We start from the raw sequence: 12,852 nt of genomic DNA on the forward strand, positions 1-12,852 counted from the left end.
CCAAGGGTGGGTTCCACAGAGAAAGGGATTGTGAGCCAAGTTCTGAGGAAAAGCAGTTTTCTGAGGGGAACTGAGGGGGAGGCTGAGGGTCTGCGTCTGCCTGCCTCTCTCCCTCCATGTCTCCCGCCTCTCTCCCTCCATGTCTCCCATCTCTCTCTCCCCTGTACCTCCCTCTCCCGCTCTCCATCCATCCCATGCTTGAGACAAACCCCATGCAAATGCTAGGAAACTGCACATCCTCCTGCAGGATCAGGTAAGACAGGAGGCGAATGCACACCACGAGGGTCTCACAAAGCCCCTTGCCAAAGAGTCTGGGCAACTTCTGGGGCACAGTCCAGACACAAAGCTGAGGCCCCTGGGCAGCACTGCATCTTCACCCATGCTCTTGGGGCCTTAGCGGGCTGCTGCAGCCTCAGTACCCGTTCTCTCCACAGTCACCTGGGTCCACGGCCCTTCCATCAAAACCCTTGGGCCAGATGTGTTTGGGGATTTCAGAAAAGTCATATGACCACTTGCTAGGGAGACCCCAGCAGGCTGGGGAGAGGGCTTCACGGGCATCCACTGCCCTGTGTCTGCAGCAAGGCCTCTGAACACTCAAACTGCAGAGGTCAAGGGAAAACCACAAACAGCTTCTCACGTGCTTAGGGCCAATTTGACCGTCCAATGCTTTTAGCATCAATTCTAAGAAAAATATTTCAGTGTTGGGGGCTTTTTGGATTTCATAATTTTGGCTAAGAGATTGTGAAACTGTGGATCTCTGACTTTCAGCATGACAGCAACTCAGGAAACATGAGGACATCCTCCAGCTGCCCTGGCAGCCAGGCATCGCCACGCCACTCAGTTCTGGCCAGCATGCAGTCAGGGCATGAAGGATGTGATCTGCCGACTGCACACAGGCCTTGAGCTGCTGGGACCTCAACCCAGGGCAGCCCCAGGGACCGTAGGTCCTCCAGTGGGGAAGCACCAGGACCTGACCCCCGTGGAGACCCGAGACCCCCACCTGCTGTCTGAGCACATCACCTGGGGTCTCTTCGAGGACCTGATGCCCAGTGTAACAATTCACTCAGCTTCAGCATCCATTTGCTAAAAATCAGACTACACTCCCAGGATTACCAGGAGAACTAAAGGAGACAACTTACGAGGAAGCACCCAACGTAGTCCCTAAAACACAAAAGCACTCCGTACAGCTCACCTCCTTCCTTCATGCTTCCTAACCCTGTTCTGTCTTACTGTTTCAGCTTATTGTCCTGACCAGACTACAATTCTTAGGGACACACCCCAAGTCTTCTGTAATGCTTATTTGTTGAATAAGCGAACGAGTGAGTGAATGACTGAGCGGGGAATGAATGGATAAATCTCTATAGTCATAACTGCACTAGCTGTGCAGTGGATGCTAATCAAACTCTCAGAACTGTGACATCCAGAAACGTCCAATGCAATAGAAAGACTAGGAATTGGCTGATCTTGGGCAACTCCCTTGGTACCACCAAGTCCTGGAAGATGAGTTGTGTCCAAGGTCCTGAGGATAGCAACGGGCCACGTGGCCTCTGTCCACCAAGATGTCCCAGACAACGGGAGCACTGGCAAGGGGGCCCGGCCGCTAGTGCTGTTGAGCACCCACGGGTCAGACTTGGGCCCTCAACCACGGCCGCCCCACTTCAGCTTGGTGGCACCTCTGGAGAGGTGCGCACAGCAATATTATTCATAGTAATATTGAAAACTCACGTGTTGAGCGCCTGCTCTGTTCCACTCGCAGTGGAAGTAGAGCAAATAGAGCCAACAGCTACCCTCTCACGCCACTCAACGCGGACCCACAGTGGCAAAGGGAAAATCAGGGAGGCTAAGCAAACAAGAGAAAGCACCGGCACATCGGCCAGTGGGAAAGTGGCCCATGAGCTAGGGTGCCATCCAGGAGGCTTCGGTTCCGAGGAGGCCTGTAGAGGAAGATCTGCAGGACATGTGTGTGCGTACACATACACACACATTTAGGACACTGTGTATGGTATAATCCCAGCCGTGCTCAGGGAACAGAAGCAGTTACATGTGAGCACACATATGCACATGCACACATAGAAGTATAATATACAACTATAGTTAAATGCACAAGAAAGAAGGCCTGGAAGGCTCTAACTGCTGACTGCGGTCCCCTGGGGGAAAGAGTAGGATTGGAGGAGGGGGATTGGAAGACGGCCAGGGGAACTATTGCTTTTACCATTATTCTTCTATAATTAAAAAAACACATATGCATGTATTACATTTTTTTTTTTTTTTTGAGACGGAGTCTCACTCTGTCGCCCAGGCTGGAGTGCAGTGGCGCGATCTAGGCTCACTGCAAGCTCCGCCTCCCAGGTTCACACCATTCTCCTGCCTCAGCCTCCCGAGTAGCTGGGACTACAGGCGCCCGCCACCATGCCTGGCTAATTTTTTGTATTTTTAGTAGAGACGGGGTTGCACCGTGTTAGCCAGGATGGTCTCCATCTGCCGACCTCATGATCCACCCACTTCAGCCTCCCAAAGTGCTGGGATTATAGGCGTGATCCACCGCGCCTGGCCCATGCATTACATATTTTTAAACATACATACATACTTTATATGTATCTATTACATATTTTTTAAATAATTTCAAGACTAGAAAACACAACTATGTGGATAAATATCACAGACACAGCAATAAGCAGAAGGCAGACAGAAGGAAATGCATGCGTCAGGCTCAACGGCAGGCAGTCTAACCTCTGCCCTGACCCAGGGCAGCAGGGTGTAGGGGGCACAGTGCAGGAAGGGACCCAGGGTCTGCAGGCAGCCAAGAAAGGGTCCTGGGCCACCTGGGCACCTACAGTTTGGGCACCTTTACTGCATGCTGTGCATAAGAAAAGATTCTGGGTCAGGTATGGTGGCTCACACCTGTAATCCCAGGACTTTGGGAGGCCAAGGCGGGTGGACCATGAGGTCAAGGGATCGAGACCAGTCTGGCCAACATAGTGAAACCCCGCCTCTAGTAAAAATACAAAAATTAGCCGGGCGTGGTGGCAGGTGCCTGTAGTCTCAGCTACTCAGGAGGCTGAGGCAGGAGAATCACTTGAACCAGGGGGCAGAAGTTACAGTGAACCAAGATCACGCCACTGCACTCTAGCCTGGGCAGCTGAGTGAGACTCCATCTCAAAAAAAAAAAAAAAAAAAAGATTCCGAAGAAGAAAATGGGTTAAAAATACACACACACGTGCTATGTACAATACGACTATGAGAATAGAACAAGTTTTTATTTCTACTTTTCCAAATGTTCCTAATTCTCTAATATAAACTTTCTTTACTCTAAATAGAATATTTTAAAATGTGCAAAGAGAACAGCTTCATATGACTTTGAAAATGATAAAATTAATCCCAGCACTTTGGGAGGCCAAGGCGGGTGGATAACAAAGTCAGGAAATCGAGACCATCCTGGCCAACATGGTGAAACTAAAAAAAATACAAAAAAGTAACCGGGCGTGGTGGCGGGCGCCTGTAGTCCCCAGCTACTCGGGAGGCTGAGGCAGGAGAATGGTGTGAACCCGGGAGGCGGAGCTTGCAATGCAATGAGCAATGAGCTGAGATCGCACCACTGCACTCCAGCCTGGGTGACACAGCGAGACTCTGTCTAAAAAAAAAAAAAAAAAAAAAAAAAAAGAAAATGATAAAATTATGATTCCATCAGTTCTCTGAAATCTACCTCAACATTCTGGAACTCTCCACAGCCTGTTTCCTTATCCCTACAGTGAGACAGTAACACCATGGTGCCCTCCCATACAGGCTGATAAGGACTCAGCCAGGCAGCACAGAAAACCCAGCAGTCAGTGTGTGTGGAAGAGAGCAGGTGCTCAACACATGTGAGTTTTCAATGTTACTATGAATAATAGGCTGAACATTTCTCTCTGACTTGTTCCTCATTCACCTACCATCTGTCTGGACTTTTAGTAAACCTGCAACCTCCCACCAAGGGACTTACCCTGGAGCAGGCTGAGGTGAGAGGCAGGAAAGGAGCTGGCCTCCAGCAATCAGCTCAGTCTGAGTCCCGGTGAAGATGTCTTGGCTTTCCATCAGCTTCCGGATCTCATCTCGGGGCACAACGTGGCCACCAGCAAGCACGACATTAATCCTTGGATCTGGCAGCAACACCAAAAAAGAGCGTTTGCTCTTCACAGGCACTCCCTAAAACGAATCTGCTCATTCGCCTGGAACTCACTGAGACTGCTTCACAGCATGACCAGCATCGACCACCTCTCACCACCCCAGGCGTCCCAGGTCCAACCCAGCGCCCTCTTCTCTGCCTCCTGTCTCCCTGCTCCTTGGCCCAGGACACCTGCAGCCAGCTACCATGATCCTATTAACACCCAAGTCAGAGCACGGCACTCACCTGCTGACAACCCTCCAACAGCTCCCATCTGACTCTGGATAGAAGCCGAAGTCTCGGCCATGGCCCCCCAACTCTGTGGCCTCACTCCTCCAGGTCTCTCCACCTGGCCTCCCTGCCATATCTGAAGTATTAGAGGCCTTGGGATCATGGCTCCTGATCCCAGAAATGCTGTACCTGGGTATCTACAAGGCTTCCCTAGGCCTCCTGGGACCCCAAGCCTAAGACTGCATGCCCTCTTCCCCTCTTTGCCTTCCTCCCGAGCTCTGGCCACTTCCTGGGCTCCATGTCACCTGGCTCCCTCCAGTCCCCGTGAGCGCAGGGGCATCTGCACGCAGTGCAGCCTGGCACGTGGTAGGGGATGAATGTATGTCTCTTGGTTACATGAGAGAAAGCAGCCTGCATTAGGAAGGACCCTGGGAGGCCACGCACAGTGGCTCACACCTGTAATCCCAGCACTTTGGGAGACCGAGGCGGGCAGATCACCTGAGGCTGGGAGTTCGAGACCAGCCTGACCAACATGGAGAAACCCCGTCTCCACTAAAAACACAAAATTAGCCAGGCATGGTGCTACATCCCTGTAATCCCAGCTACTCGGAAGGCTGGGACAGGAGAATCACCTGAACCCAGGAGGCAGAGGTTGCAGTGAGACGAGATGGTGCCACTGCACTCCAGCCTCAGCAACAAGAGCGAAACTCTGTCTCAAAAAAAAAAAAAAAAAAGGACGACCCCAGAAAGAACCCTAGCCCCAAGCCGAGAGAAGCCTGCTCTGTGACCAGGACAGTTGGGTGGTTCGGCATAACTTCTCCAAGAGGCATTTTTGACAGTAACTAGCAAACGTGTTCATTCCCTGAATCCAGAAGTTCCACTTCTAAGAATTCATCCTAAGGAAACAATGCGAGAGTAACAGAAATGTGATCCCCTCCCCCCACCACCAAATATCCGACAAACAGCATGTACTCAACACAGGCATGCATGCACAGGTCAGAATTTGGAATTCTGGAAAAAGGGGAAGGGGAATATAATTAGTGCTAGAGGAAAAAGCTTGTATAAAGGACAGACTGAGATAGAAAAACCCAGATACAATGAAGGGAACCACATGCTAAGGAAAGCCGGGATTGTAAGGAGAACCAACAGCCTAACAAAGTATCTTTTAAAACAAATGTTACAATCCAGCTTCTAATGCCCCAGGCGAGACCCTGTGGGGAAGGAGGCTGGGCGCATGTGCCAAAGAACTCACACAATGCCCAGACAGCTAAAGAGTGTCTGACGGTAAATGTTTATCTCACCAGGCTGGTCAGTCTCGTGAAGCTGTAGTTTTTCTCAGTGACTGTATTAAATCCACTTTCGCACTCATTCGATACCCGAGTGACCGCATGCAGGACAACCTCGCAAGCCAGCACCTGCCGACCCGCCTGGCCCCACCACGATGCAGAGCCCCGAGGTGGCTGTGCTTTCTGCCAGCACTGGCCACTCTCTCTCTCTCACCCCCACTGTGTCCTTCCATAGAACAGAGACCCCCCCACCTGACACCCCTGCCACACCATCACCTGGACCCTTGGGCCCCAGCCTGCCCCAGGAACTCCAGAACCACACCCAGTGAGCCCACGCTCCAGGTGGGCAGAGGCCCTGGAGGCAGAGTTCCGGGGTCCCCACCAGGGCAGAGCCAGGGACAGGGCGCACCCCCACCCCATGCTTGTCAACAAGAATGAGCACTGTGGAAGCAGCCAGGGGCCTGCTCCTTACCAGGAGCTCAGGCGTGGGCCCTGCCAGGACATCAGCGGGTTCTACTGCCCCTCATTGCTCCCAGCCAGAGTGGGTCCCTCGGGACAGGAGGCAGTGTGCTCACCCTGTCTTCACAAGCCACACACCTAAGACTGTGCATATGAAAGGGACTCGGAGTATTTGTTGAAATCATTTAAAATGTTAAATTAAAACTATGTGGGATAAACATAATTAAACCAGGAAATACTGGTAGAACATTCAATTTAGGAATTGCAGTCAACCCTCAGTACACTCAGGGGATGGGTTCCAGGACCCCCAGAATGCCAAAATCCGAGCACCCTCAAGTCCCACAGCCCACCCGTGGAACGCAGGTGCATGGAAAGTCAGCCCTCCATATACGCCAACTTCACCTCCCACCAGTACTGGATTTCTGAGGTTGAAAAGAATCTGTGTATAAGTGGACCCTCTAATGTCAAACCCAGTTGTTCAAGGGTCAGCGGTAATCCGATATGCTACATGGCTTCACTTAAACTACATGAAGCTATATAAGTTTACTTAGAAAAGACAAGACGGTCAGTTAGCTGTGTCTCGGATGCTGTGTCTCGGATATCATGGGCACTGGTGATGCACTCTTGGGGGGTTTTCTATTCTCTTCTCTATGCTCATATGTTTATAAGAATATGTCACAGCCCCCGAGACAGAGAGGAACATCAAACCAGAAAACAGTCACCCCCTACTCCGCCCCCCACCACCCCTGAGCCTCTGGAGGGACAATAGCTCCTGCTCCTCCCAGCCCTGTCTCAGAGGCATGGGGCTGTCTGGGGCTCAGCAGCTACAGGCGCATTCAGGAGGAAGAGGACGTCTTACCCTGGCCCCCCTCAGCTGGGTCCTGGCCCTGCCACGGGTCCAAGGTTCTCTCCCCACACCCACTCTCATTGCCGACGTCCAGGCAGCTGGCCAGGTCTGGGAGCTGTAATGAGCTGTTGTACGCAAGGTCCATGTAGCTGTAGAAACCAGGAATCAGGAAAGTGATATTCTAGAAAACAAAGCAGGGACATTTCAGAACCTGGAGGATCCACGCTGACCCACTGGACCGTCCCCCTGGGGGAGGAATGAACACAAGGAGAGCCAGTCCCTGAGGGTTCACCCTTAAGGTCAGGAAAGGCCTCGGGCCAAATGCCCTTCGACGCACCTGAAGCCCCTCAGATGCTCAACATGTGATCTGTGATTTTCCCCTTAAGAAAAAGGTAAAAACATACTCTGCGGCAAGTTACAGTGACATCGACACATCTTTGGAGCAGACATCTGGCCTTTGGCCCCATGTTTAGATGGATCTGGGAGCCTGTGTTTGCAAGCCTCACCTCACGCGGCTCACTGGTGGCCGGAACAGTGACATGCACCCAGGACAGAAGGACTGTGGGGCCTTCCTCCCAGGCCAGGAGCTGCTCTGACAGATGCTTCCTCTGAACCTGTGTGTGGCCCCCTCACCGGGACACTGCCCATAGCTGTAATGCCAGAACCCGCTCTAACCTCACAGAGGGCACAAGTGTCCATGCCCCCAAAATCCCTGCAAGGTCTCAATGCCCTCAGCTCCTGTGGGAACCCCTCATCCAGGAAGAACACTAACTGCTTTTTAACTAACTTAAATTTAACGTAACTACAATTCAGCTTAGCTACTTTTTAGTATTTCTACTAGGGTGAGAAATGAACCCCCGCAGTTGTGTCGTAAACCCTGGTCCATCAGTCAGACCAGATCTCTCAGGGCTTCGAAGCACAGTGCTCCTCTCCCTCCGACGGTGGTTGCTGGGGAAGGGTGGAGAGGAAGGAGCTTGGCAGCCATGAGCAGGGACCTCCCTCCCTGGACCCAAGGTCCTTCCTGGGTAAAGGAGCGAGCTGGAGAGCTTGCCGGGTGCGAGGCCTGTGCCACACGCAAGCCCGCACTGCAGAGCACAGCAGCTTCCTCCCAGGGAACGGGAGCCAGGCGCCCAGGGCAGCCCCACCTTGCCCAGGAGCTCCGTCTTTCCGTAACCAAACAGTGTCAGCGCGAAGCTGTGGTTGATGCCGTGGATGGTCCCATCCGGCAGGAGGGTGATGAGGCCACTGATGGTGCAGAACACCCAGACAGATGCCCGGTAGCCGCTCACAGGGGCCGCCTCACCGGTGGTCGCCTCCTCGCTGCTGGGTTGGGATTTCAGCTTTAAGCTCAGAGGGAAGGTGGTACCGTCCCTGGCTCTTCCAACAGACCTCTGAATCTTGAGATTCTGAAAGAAAGGCTTGTCGTTTGGCTTAAGCCGTGTTTCACGTGGACAGAGCACTGAGTCTGTGCTGCGTCCGACCCGACTTCTACCCCACGTCATCGGGGAAGGTCCCCAGGACATCTCACACCCACACTGCTCTGCCTTCCCTCTCCTCCCAGGCCCAGCTGGCCCAGGAAAGAGCCCTTCTGTGGGTGGGGAGGACTCAGTGTCCAGAGCCGCCCCAGGCACAGCAACCCCAGGGCAAGTGAGACACCCCAGTGAGGGGCCGGGCACCAGCAGGGAGGGAGGGAGGGAGGACTGTGGGGCTCAGGCTCGGGGCTCAGCCACGCCACTGGCAACTGTGCCATCCTTGATCTGGCACCAGGATACTGGCCCCACAGGCAGCACTACACCAGCTGCGCAGCTGTGGATGTTACCTCCCACCCCTCAGCCTTGGGCAGCGTCCCAGCATCCACCTCTGTGGGTGGCCCAGCTCCTGGGAGAAGACTCAGGGGACAAGAGTGGTCAGCTGGGAGACCACATAGGCTCCGGCCCTTGGTCAAGGCCTCAGCGCACAGGAAGCTCAAAACTGAGCATGTCCCACCCCTAAGGCCACCCTTGCCTTCAGAAACCCTTGGTCTGCGTCTCCAGTTATGGATTCAGAGCTAAGAACTCCACCCCATCACACAGTGCGGGAGGTCAGGAGCCCTACCTTTGGGATGTGCTGGCCAGAAGGAGGGAGCTGCACAGAAGGGATCAGGTCTGTGATATGCTGCCCAGCCACGTCCTCCCCAGACACGTACCCGTGAAGATGAGCAAAGAGACTGTCACATGACGTGACGGTGCCCTGGAGGAAAAGCCCCGTGCTTATCATAAAAGCTTCTTGTGCTCCAGCTGTAAATTTAACTAAGCTTCAATATGTTCAAGCCAAAAGCAAGACCCCAACATGACTTCTCCATCGGAAGGGCAAGAGACATATACACATGAATTTGATAAGAGCTTCATCATCTGTCTCCTTCTACCAGAGACGTACCTAAATTGTGGGCCTTCTTGTTCTTCAGGAGCCTGGCCCACACCACAGCTCATTAATAACATCCCAGTTCACATATGAGGGCTGTCTCTAATGCCAGCTACTATCCTGGGGGGTTTACATATATTATCTCATTTAAATGTTGAAACAATCTTATGAGGAGTTATGATTATGCCCCAGTTCACAGGTGAGGAACTGAAGTATAGGAAGTTCGTTCCCTGCCCAAGCACACGCAATCAGCGAGGGTACCACTGGGCAGACCCTCCAGGCTCCTCATCCTCTCTTTCTTCCCAAAGGAATGAGACAGGGACCAGCACTTGCTGAAGAGGAGAACGACGCCGGCTCCAGCGTCCATGAGACATGAGGCAAAGTTGCACACTCACATCGCTCTGGAAAGCGACCCAGGTCGAGACCCTCTCCACGGGCTCCAGGACCACCACGCAGCATAGGCGGCGCTCCTGCCGCATCCTCTTCATCCACACAGACACTGGAATCTTCTCCCCACTACGGCTGATGATGTCCACCTGTGGAAACAGACAGGTTCACACCTGCATGCCATGAACCCAAAAGACCAGTATGGGTGGGGCACCTGCCTCCAGGAGGCCCAAACTCCAGGCACTGCAACGTTTTCAACTTCTGCTTACCTGATTTTCATTTCAGAAATTTACCAAAGCACAAACAAGATTTCCCATACTGAACATTAAAATCTCCAAGTGCAAGTTTTATCAAGAGAGTAGATTTCATTCTCAGTTCATGGTAATATTGCAGGGTGAAAAAAGCAGTATCTGTTATTTCTTAAAGAAACAGACACCAACACATGGTGAATATCTTAGTTTTTTTCTTCTTAGTAGTCAGTTTCTTGAACCAGTGATTTTCTGATACAATTGGTCCTAAGCCTGTGACATCAGTTCAGTTCAAGCAATGGGGTCTTCTGTGTGAAAGCCACACACTAGGTGGGAAACAGGCAACCTGGAGGATCTGGATGACTACTAGAGCCTCAGATCATACCCCAACCTCCACTGCCCTCCAACGCTACTCCCCCAGTCCCCGACCGGCTGACGAGGGGAAACCCTACAATCAGCCATGCCTTGGGCTTTTTCCATGCCTTGGGCTCAGTCCTCCACATCCAACTCAGCTCACCTGTCAACATCCAGGTTGGACACATGGCACAGGTGAGAGAATCAACACTGTCTAGGGAAATGCTTCCAGGCCAACACCCCCGCCCGCTCCCACAAACACCAAACAGAATGTAAAAATCAATAGACAATAAAACCATATTACTCTTGAGCATCTGATGTGCTGCCCGGCAGGACTGCAAAACATTAGTGAAGCTACAGCCCTCAGACAAAGCAAGGGCCACCCACGACACCTCCCAGGAGTCCAGCCACAGCCACAGTGTCCATTCCTGCGATGATTCGTTCTTAAAGGGCCCCCACCCCCACTGCAGCTGAAGCGGGGAAACGGCGCCTGGGATGACATTTTCAGCTGAAGAAGCTGAGATGTCCTGGTGCCACCCAACCCCCAGCAGAGCTCCTGGTAGGGAACACTGAGCTGTTCCTGCCACACACTGCTGGTCTTGAGGCCAGACTGAACGCTGCACCCGCATCCACTCACCACCGTGCCAAACACCACCGCAGCGTGGCCGTCGGCCTCCATGTGCTCCTCGCTGAGGGCCTCCACCACATCAGAATCTGACCTCAGAAAGAACTGCGTGAGCTTCTGGCCAATCAGGTCCTGGCTGCTGTACCCCAGGAGCCCGCAAGCTTTGTCGTTAGCAACCAGGATCTGAGGAATCACAAAGAGGAGCAAGGATGCAGACATCCCCAGCAGCTCCACCAGCTGCCCAGAACAGCCCAGGACGACCATGCAGAAGCCAGCCTTTTCCTGACAGACAGGGTCTCACTCTGTTGCCCAGGCTGGAGTGCAGTGGCGCAATCAGAGCTCACTGCAGCGGCGCAATCAGAGCTCACTGCAACCTTGAACTCCTGGGTTCAAGTGATCCTCCTGCCTCAGCCTCCCTGGTAGCTGGGACTACAGGTGTGTGCCACCGCACCTGGCTAATTTCTTTGTAGAGATGGGATCTTGCTATGTTGCCCAGGCTGGTCTTGAACTCCTGGGCTCAAGCAAACTTCCCACCTCCCGAAGTGCCCAAATGTTTTTCTAATTGCATTAAAACACACAAATCCCAGGTTTAAGGCACAAACCACAAATCCACATCTACACAGCTGGATCTAAAAGAGAAGCAAATACCTCTGTGGTCTTGGCATCCACCGTGAAGATGGCCTTGTTAGGGTTGCACACAGGGGCCGGAAGCAGAGGTGAGGACCACCCTGAGGACAGTCCCCGCAGCAGGGAGCAGCAGGACACACTGCCCCGCGGTTCGGACGGGTCCGTGTGCTCAGGGGCAGCAGGGCAGTGCAGTTTACTTGTACAAATATTCTGGGCAGCCAGTGATGATAGACAATAGGAGCTCCATCTGTCTTCTGAAAAGAGAAGCGAAGCGAAGCTTTAGACTTCACACAGCTGCCAGAGTCCACCTTCTGAAACAGGCAAAGCACACAGCCCTTGCCCTCAACTCCTGCAAAAAGATCTAAGGATTAAGTCAGTCTGCACAGCTAACACACACTCTCACTGCGTGTCTGAACATGGTCCCCAGAATCCACTTAGGCAACCACCAGGTCCACTCGGAAGCACAAACAGCATAAGATCAACACTTCTGTGTCTAAATTACACTCAAAGCCAGGCGTGCCTATAATCCCAGTTCTTTGGAAGGCTGAGGCAGGAAGGTTGCTTGAGTTCAGGAGTTCAAGACCAGCCTGGACAACACAGCGAGACCCTGTCCCTACTAAAAATAAAATTTGTAAAAATCAGTTGGGCATAGTGGCGTGCCCTTGCAGCCCCATCTACTCAGGAGGCTAAGGCAGGAGGATTGCCTGAGCCCAGGAGTTTGAGACTGCAGCGAGCTATGACTGCGCCACTGCACTCCAGCCTGAGCAACAGTCAGACCTTGTCCCAAAAAACAAAAAAGCTTAATTACACTCAAAGGTTCCTTCCTTCCCACCTTCTGTCCTCTGTCAGTCATTCCAAGACCCCATGGCCACTCCGGTGGCTGCCCCGTCACCTCCTCCTTGGAAGCGTTCCTACGATTCAAGAGCTCCTTGTGCAGCGTTCTCTCAGCAACGCCTCCAATGGCTCCCAAAACCCTCAGCCCCGTCATTCCTCAGGCCTCACCCTCCTCCCACACCACCCTCCTCGGGCACCTGGGCTCCCCCACCTCCCACCTCTCAGTGACCCTGGCTCCATCTCACCCATTCCTCGGTAGCTTTAAATACATCTAATTAGAAATGCACTGAAGACTCTCACACTCGCACCTCCAGCCTGGACCTCCCACGGCCCACTCGCCTGCTTCCCCATCTCTGGAGACACCAGATACATTCTTCCAGTGCTCAAAACCAAGCACTCAAGACCTGACCCTT

At 52.9% G+C, this 12,852-nt stretch overlaps 1 protein-coding gene across 8 annotated transcripts in view, besides 2 other annotated features; it reads right to left on the reverse strand.

Moving 5' to 3' along the window:
• Positions 1–12,852, reverse strand: part of PASK (PAS domain containing serine/threonine kinase) — a 44,249-nt gene that overhangs the window by 22,796 nt on the left and 8,601 nt on the right. For 6 of the 8 annotated variants that reach the window (NM_001252120.2, NM_015148.4, NM_001252119.2 and 3 more), the window contains 7 exons: positions 11,627–11,859; positions 10,991–11,161; positions 9,760–9,900; positions 9,059–9,193; positions 8,110–8,370; positions 6,977–7,145; positions 3,980–4,136 (listed from right to left, as the gene is read on the reverse strand). In NM_001252120.2, the coding sequence (NP_001239049.1) occupies positions 3,980–4,136; positions 6,977–7,145; positions 8,110–8,370; positions 9,059–9,193; positions 9,760–9,900; positions 10,991–11,161; positions 11,627–11,859 (1,267 nt within the window). Of the gene's footprint in view, positions 1–3,979; positions 4,137–4,387; positions 4,944–6,976; positions 7,146–8,109; positions 8,371–9,058; positions 9,194–9,759; positions 9,901–10,990; positions 11,162–11,626; positions 11,860–12,852 lie in introns of those variants that run through there. The other 2 variants (NM_001252122.2, XM_011510834.2) reach the window with 2 other exon arrangements.
• Positions 3,995–4,084: an enhancer, noted in NCBI's record as "active region_17417". NCBI's record gives its function as "activates an Ori minimal core promoter by ATAC-STARR-seq in GM12878 lymphoblastoid cells {active_cell/tissue: GM12878}" and the evidence as "EXISTENCE:reporter gene assay evidence [ECO:0000049][PMID:35858748]".
• Positions 10,960–11,460: an enhancer, noted in NCBI's record as "H3K4me1 hESC enhancer chr2:242079269-242079769 (GRCh37/hg19 assembly coordinates)". NCBI's record gives its function as "activates a minimal SCP1, AML or CMV promoter by ChIP-STARR-seq in primed H9 embryonic stem cells {active_cell/tissue: H9 hESC(primed)}" and the evidence as "EXISTENCE:reporter gene assay evidence [ECO:0000049][PMID:30033119]".

The sequence above is a fragment of the Homo sapiens genome, chromosome 2 (genome assembly GCF_000001405.40).
Source record: "Homo sapiens chromosome 2, GRCh38.p14 Primary Assembly".
NCBI lineage: Eukaryota > Metazoa > Chordata > Mammalia > Primates > Hominidae > Homo > Homo sapiens.